Genomic DNA, 6,654 nt, shown 5'->3' on the forward strand with positions numbered 1-6,654 from the left:
TTTGTTCTCGTTGGTTTCAAAGAACATCTTTATTTCTGCCTTCATTTCGTTATGTACCCAGTAGTCATTCAGGAGCAGGTTGTCCAGTTTCCATGTAGTTGAGTGGTTTTGAGTGAGATTCTTAATCCTGAGTTCTAGTTTGATTGCACTGTGGTCTGAGAGATAGTTTGTTATAATTTCTGTTCTTTTACATTTGCTGAGGAGAGCTTTACTTCCCAGTATGTGGTCAATTTTGGAATAGGTGTGGTGTGGTGCTGAAAAAAATGTATATTCTGTTGATTTGGGGTGGAGAGTTCTGTAGATGTCTATTAGGTCCGCTTGGTGCAGAGCTGAGTTCAATTCCTGGGTATCCTTGTTAACTTTCTGTCTCGTTGATCTATCTAATGTTGACAGTGGGGTGTTAAAGTCTCCGATTATTAATGTGTGGGAGTCTAAGTCTCTTTGTAGGTCACTCAGGACTTGCTTTATGAATCTTGGTGCTCCTATATTGGGTGCATATATATTTAGGATAGTTAGCTCTTCTTGTTGAATTGATCCCTTTACCATTATGTAATGGCCTTCTTTGTCTCTTTTGATCTTTGTTGGTTTAAAGTCTGTTTTATCAGAGACTAGGATTGCAACCCCTGCCTTTTTTTGTTTTCCATTGGCTTGGTAGATCTTCCTCCATCCTTTTATTTTGAGCCTATGTGTGTGTCTGCACGTGAGATGGGTTTCCTGAATACAGCACACTGATGGGTCTTGACTCTTTATCCAATTTGCCAATCTGTGTCTTTTAACTGGAGCATTTAGTCCATTGACATTTACAGTTAATATTGTTATGTGTGAATTTGATCCTGTCATTATGATGTTAGCTGGTTATTTTGCTCATTAGTTGATGCAGTTTCTTCCTAGTCTCGATGGTCTTTACATTTTGGCATGATTTTGCAGCGGCTGGTACCAGTTGTTCCTTTCCATGTTTAGTGCTTCCTTCAGGAGCTCTTGTAAGGCAGGCCTGGTGGTGACGAAATCTCTCAGCATTTGCTTGTCTGTAAAGTATTTTATTTCTCCTTCACTTATGAAGCTTAGTTTGTCTGGATATGAAATTCTGGGTTGAAAAGTCTTTTCTTTAAGAATGTTGAATATTGGCCCCCACTCTCTTCTAGCTTGTAGGGTTTCTGCCGAGAGATCCGCTGTTAGTCTGATGGGCTTCCCTTTGAGGGTAACCTGACCTTTCTCTCTGGCTGCCCTTAACATTTTTTCCTTCATTTCAACTTTGGTGAATCTGACAATTATGTGTCTTGGAGTTGCTCTTCTCGAGGAGTAGCTTTGTGGCGTTCTCTGTATTTCCTGAATCTGAACGTTGGCCTGCCTTGCTAGATTGGGGAAGTTCTCCTGGATAATATCCTGCAGAGTGTTTTCCAACTTGGTTCCATTCTCCCCATCACTTTCAGGTACACCAATCAGACATAGATTTGGTCTTTTCACATAGTCCCATATTTCTTGGAGGCTTTGCTCATTTCTTTTATTTTTTTTCTCTAAACTTCCCTTCTCACTTCATTTCATTCATTTCATCTTCCATTGCTGATACCCTTTCTTCCAGTTGATCGCATCGGCTCCTGAGGCTTCTGCATTCTTCATGTAGTTCTCGAGCCTTGGTTTTCAGCTCCATCAGCTCCTTTAAGCACTTCTCTGTATTGGTTATTCTAGTTATACATTCTTCTAAATTTTTTTCAGAGTTTTCAACTTCTTTGCCTTTGGTTTGAATGTCCTCCCGTAGCTCAGAGTAATTTGATCGTCTGAAGCCTTCTTCTCTCAGCTTGTCAAAGTCATTCTCCATCCAGCTTTGTTCCGTTGCTGGTGAGGAACTACGTTCCTTTGGAGGAGGAGAGGCGCTCTGCTTTTTAGAGTTTCCATTTTTTCTGTTCTGTTTTTTTCCCCATCTTTGTGGTTTTATCTACTTTTGGTCTTTGATGATGGTGATGTACAGATGGGTTTTTGGTGTGGATGTCCTTTCTGTTTGTTAGTTTTCCTTCTAACAGAGAGGACCCTCAGCTGCAGGTCTGTTGGAATACCCTGCCGTGTGAGGTGTCAGTGTGCCCCTGCTGGGGGGTGCCTCCCAGTTAGGCTGCTCGGGGGTCAGGGGTCAGGGACCCACTTGAGGCAGTCTGCCCTTTCTCAGATCTCCAGCTGCCTGCTGGGAGAACCACTGCTCTCTTCAAAGCTGTCAGATAGGGATATTTAAGTCTGCAGAGGTTACTGCTGTCTTTTTGTTTGTCTGTGCCCTGCCCCCAGAGGTGGAGCCTACAGAGGCAGGCAGGCCTCCTTGAGCTGTGGTGGGCTCCACCCAGTTGGAGCTTCCAGGCTGCTTTGTTTACCTAATCAAGCCTGGGCAATGGCGGGCGCCCCTCCCCCAGCCTCGCTGCCGCCTTGCAGTTTGATCTCAGACTGCTGTGCTAGCAATCAGCAAGACTCCGTGGGCGTAGGACCCTCCGAGCCAGGTGTGGGATATAATCTCGTGGTGCGCCTTTTTTTAAGCCCATCGGAAAAGCACAGTATTCGGGTGGGAGTGACCCGATTTTCCAGGTGCCGTCTGTCACCCCTTTCTTTGACTCAGAAAGGGAACTCCCTGACCGCTTGCGCTTCCCAAGTGAGGCAATGCCTCACCCTGCTTCGGCTCGTGCACAGTGCGTGCACCCACTGACCTGTGCCCACTGTCTGGCACTCCCTAGTGAGATGAACCCGGCACCTCAGATGGAAATGCAGAAATCACCCGTCTTCTGCGTTGCTCACGCTGGGAGCTGTAGACTGGAGCTGTTCCTGTTCGGCCATCTTGGCTCCTCCCTTTCCAATGTATGTCAATCTTTGCCCAGTGATTTGCAATACTATCTTGATCGTATATTAAATTTCTATGTGTATCTGGATCTATTCTGGATTTTCTATACTATTCCATTGATCTGTCTATTCACTTGCCAGTACCTCACTGTTTTGATATAGAGGCTTTGTAATATGTTTTAGTTTCTGGTAATGCTAGTCCCCACTCAGCTCTGTCTTTTCATTATTTTCCTAGTGATTCTTGCATATTCATTTTTCCATATGAACTTTATTAACAACTTGTTTAACTTCATTAAAAAAACTTGATATTTTTATTAAGACTGTATTAAAATTATAAATTAAATTAGGTAGAACTATCATCTTACTAACTAGCTATCAACCAAGAATATGGAATTTGTTCAGGTCAACTCTGTCTCTTGGGAGTGCTTTATAGTTATCTTTGTATAGGCTTTGAACATTTTCCTTTCATTATGTATTCTAATTGGTTATTATTTGTATATATAAAGCTATTTATTTTTGCATGTTAATTTCATTTCCTGCTACCTCGATGAATAACTTTATTGTTTGAGTTTGCTTTATCATTATCTGGGATTTTCCAGATATACTGTCAGATCATCTGAAAACAGAAAATAGTCTTTTCTTTTATTCTTACAATTTTAATATGTCTGTTTTCTATTGTCCACTTGTACTAGCTAATAATTCCAAAACAATAGGGGTCAAGATATTGAGCATTGTTGTCTAGTTCTTGACCTTAGTGAGACTGCCTTTAGCATTTCTCCACCAAGGAAAAGGCTAGCTTTTGGAATTTTATGCAAAGACACACACACATATATATGCACATATTTATACATATGTATACATACACATACATAGCTAATGTTAGGTGTACCATGTTAACATACATAAACATAAATACATTTACATCAAATAAGTATTCATACATCTCTGTTTTCTAAAGAGATGTTTTAAGAATGGATCTTGTTTTACCCAAGTTTTTTTTCAGTATGTGTGCAGAACATCATATGTTTTTTCAATTTATTTATTTGTGTATTTGAAACAGTGTCTTGCTGTCTCACCCAGAGTGGAGTGCAGGCGCAATCACAGCTCACTGTAGCCTCCACCCCCTGAGCTCCAGTGATCATCCCACCTCAGCCTCCTGAGCAGCTGAGACTACCGGTGCCCTCCACCACACCTGGCTAATTGTATTTTTTTTATAGAGAAGGGGGTTTCGCTATGTTGCCCAAGTTGGTCTCAAATCCTGGGCTCAAGCCATCCATCCGCTTCGGATTACAGGCATTAGCCACCATGCCCAGCCTTATTTTTTCCCTTTAGGCCTATTAATATAGAAAATGCTATGAAAAGATTTCCCAATATATTAATATATGTCCTATGATAGTGAGCTATATTAATAGATTTTCTAATATTGAACCATTCTTACATTTCTGATAGACACTCCATGTAGACATAGTGTATTACTTTCTTCACGTGGTGTTTGAGTCTAAAAACTAGTATTATATTAGGATTTTTGCCTTAATATATTTTTTGTTATTTTTAACAGGTTTAGTATCAATGTTTGCTTCCTAAAAAGAATTTAGATTGTTTATTTTCCCTGTTCTGAAACATTGTACATAACGTTAGGACCATATGGTCTCTAAAAGTTTGGTAACATTCTCCTGTGAAACCATTTGGACCTGGTTTTGTTTGGTTCGTTTCTTTGTGGGAACAGCAACCCCAGCTTGGTTTCTTTGTGGGACAGTTTCTTGACAACTTTCTGTAGTTCTATTAAAATTACTGTTTAAGCTTTCCATCTTTATTGAGGTCAATTTTAATAAACACATTTTCCTAAGAAACTATATCATCTAGGTTTTCAAATTTATGTGCAGAGATTTGCAGTTTTTATTTTTATTTCCTCTGCATTAGTTATTCCTTGTCATTTCTCATTTTTTATATTTGTGCTTTATTAAATAATAGCTAATGATCGATCTATTTTGTTAATTTTTCAAAGAGCTAGTATTTTAATCTATTTGCTATTTTTCTTATTTATTAATTTCTGCTTTTGTTATTGTTACTTCCTCCTGTGTGCTTCCTTTTGGTTTATTTTTCTAGCTGTTTGATTTACTATTTATGTTCATTCTGTCATTTTTATTTATATAGATGGTAGGGCAATGAATTTTCCTGATAATACTTTTACATGGATTCTGATATATAGTATTTTCATTATCTTTCAGGAATTCCTTAATTTTTGTATTTCCCCTTTCATTGTACCCTGCATAATAGGTTTTAAATTGCTAGTTAGAAAGACCTTTTTATTTTCTAGTTTTGTTTTTAATTTCACTTGGGACTGGTAACAGTGTTTTTAATATTTCTGCTTTATAGAAGCTACTGCTATTTTCTTTGTGCTCTAAGTATCCTTTTTTTTTGGTGAAAGTTCTATTTGCCTTGGAAAGAAAATCTCTAACATCAGGATGGTAATATTTGATATATATGCAAAAGATTTACCTCATTGATTTATAGCAATTAAAATGAGCTACAGTGACAGCCCCATTAAGTGAAACTCACATAATTATGAAGGAAAAATGCAGACACACTGTGAGTGTTAGTTGATGAACTTCTCTTCTCCCTTAGAATCTGTCTGTTGGGGATCTGGTGGCAACCAAGGTTGCCGGGCCTTTTTGGCTTTCTTGGGCACTAGACTACAAGTCATTGTTGTCCTGGGAAGTGTCCCCAGGTGTAGCCAAAAATTATTTTAACTGGATTCAGAAAAAATCTCTCAAATTGGACAATGGATTGATATAACCTTGTAGGTAGGTCCTTTTGAACCAATACACACCCAGCGGTTGTAACTGATATGACTGCAAGTATTGTGGGAAACAGATACTGTAAGTTCCCAGTGGAGTGCATAAGTTAAACAGGCAGTATGGTTTCCAAATATGCAGTTCCACAGAAGGGCATTCTATTTGGATAGAATGTTTAATGATTTAATGATGGGGGGTGGGGGAAGGATAAGATGCAGATAAATTGTAAGAGACAAAACTCATATTAGCCCTTTTCAGTCTTCGTTTTCCCTCCTATGCCTCCCTCTGGGTAACTGGGCTACCGAATTTGCAAGTGGCAAAAAGGAGTGGGGATACAGGCTAGAAGACTTTAACTGGTACTTCTTTTACTGCCCAACTTTGCGTTGTGGATCTGGTAGATTATGGATATTTGTAATGATCATAGATACAAGGTGACAACTGCCATGGTATCTCTGGCATGGCTCACCTGTTGGGGAGCAAGAGGGATGTTCTAGAATGGTACAGTGTATAAGGAAGAAACCACCGAGCCACCTAGAAATGAACATGTCCAGTTGGTGTGGATTAGACATGGTGAGGATTGGCAAAAGGGTGAAGCGTTTGCTTCAGGGAATTATCACACCACTCATGTTGTGGAAAGGGAAAAGCAACCCCAGCTTGTAGGAAAGAAACACCTCACACCCTGGGAAATCAGGGGTGAGGGAAGTAGCATTGCCCTCTCCTACATTAAATATCTCTGGAAGGACACATAGGAAGGGGATGAAGAGGGGAAAATGTCTTTAGTCTTTTGTACCTGCTGAATTTTGAACCAAGTGACTATTTTATATAGTTTAAAAAACATTAAACATTTAAAAATAAAATTGTACCTAAACCTCAAACTAAAATTTAGAAATTAATAGTCCCAGTCATAATGCGAGGGCACTACGTAAGGACCTAGAATATAAAAGTACTCAATAAAAACAAGTTAGATTTTCTTTTAAAGTGACATACGCTTAAGTCATACAATTTTTGGGTATGAAATTGTTTTAAAGATGTATATGTACAAGAATAG

At 39.1% G+C, this 6,654-nt stretch overlaps 1 annotated feature.

Annotated features, from left to right (window-relative positions):
• Nucleotides 1,971-2,551: an enhancer, noted in NCBI's record as "NANOG-H3K27ac-H3K4me1 hESC enhancer chr3:170601523-170602103 (GRCh37/hg19 assembly coordinates)". NCBI's record gives its function as "activates a minimal SCP1, AML or CMV promoter by ChIP-STARR-seq in primed H9 embryonic stem cells {active_cell/tissue: H9 hESC(primed)}" and the evidence as "EXISTENCE:reporter gene assay evidence [ECO:0000049][PMID:30033119]".

This window comes from Homo sapiens, chromosome 3 (genome assembly GCF_000001405.40).
Source record: "Homo sapiens chromosome 3, GRCh38.p14 Primary Assembly".
Classification (NCBI taxonomy): domain Eukaryota; kingdom Metazoa; phylum Chordata; class Mammalia; order Primates; family Hominidae; genus Homo; species Homo sapiens.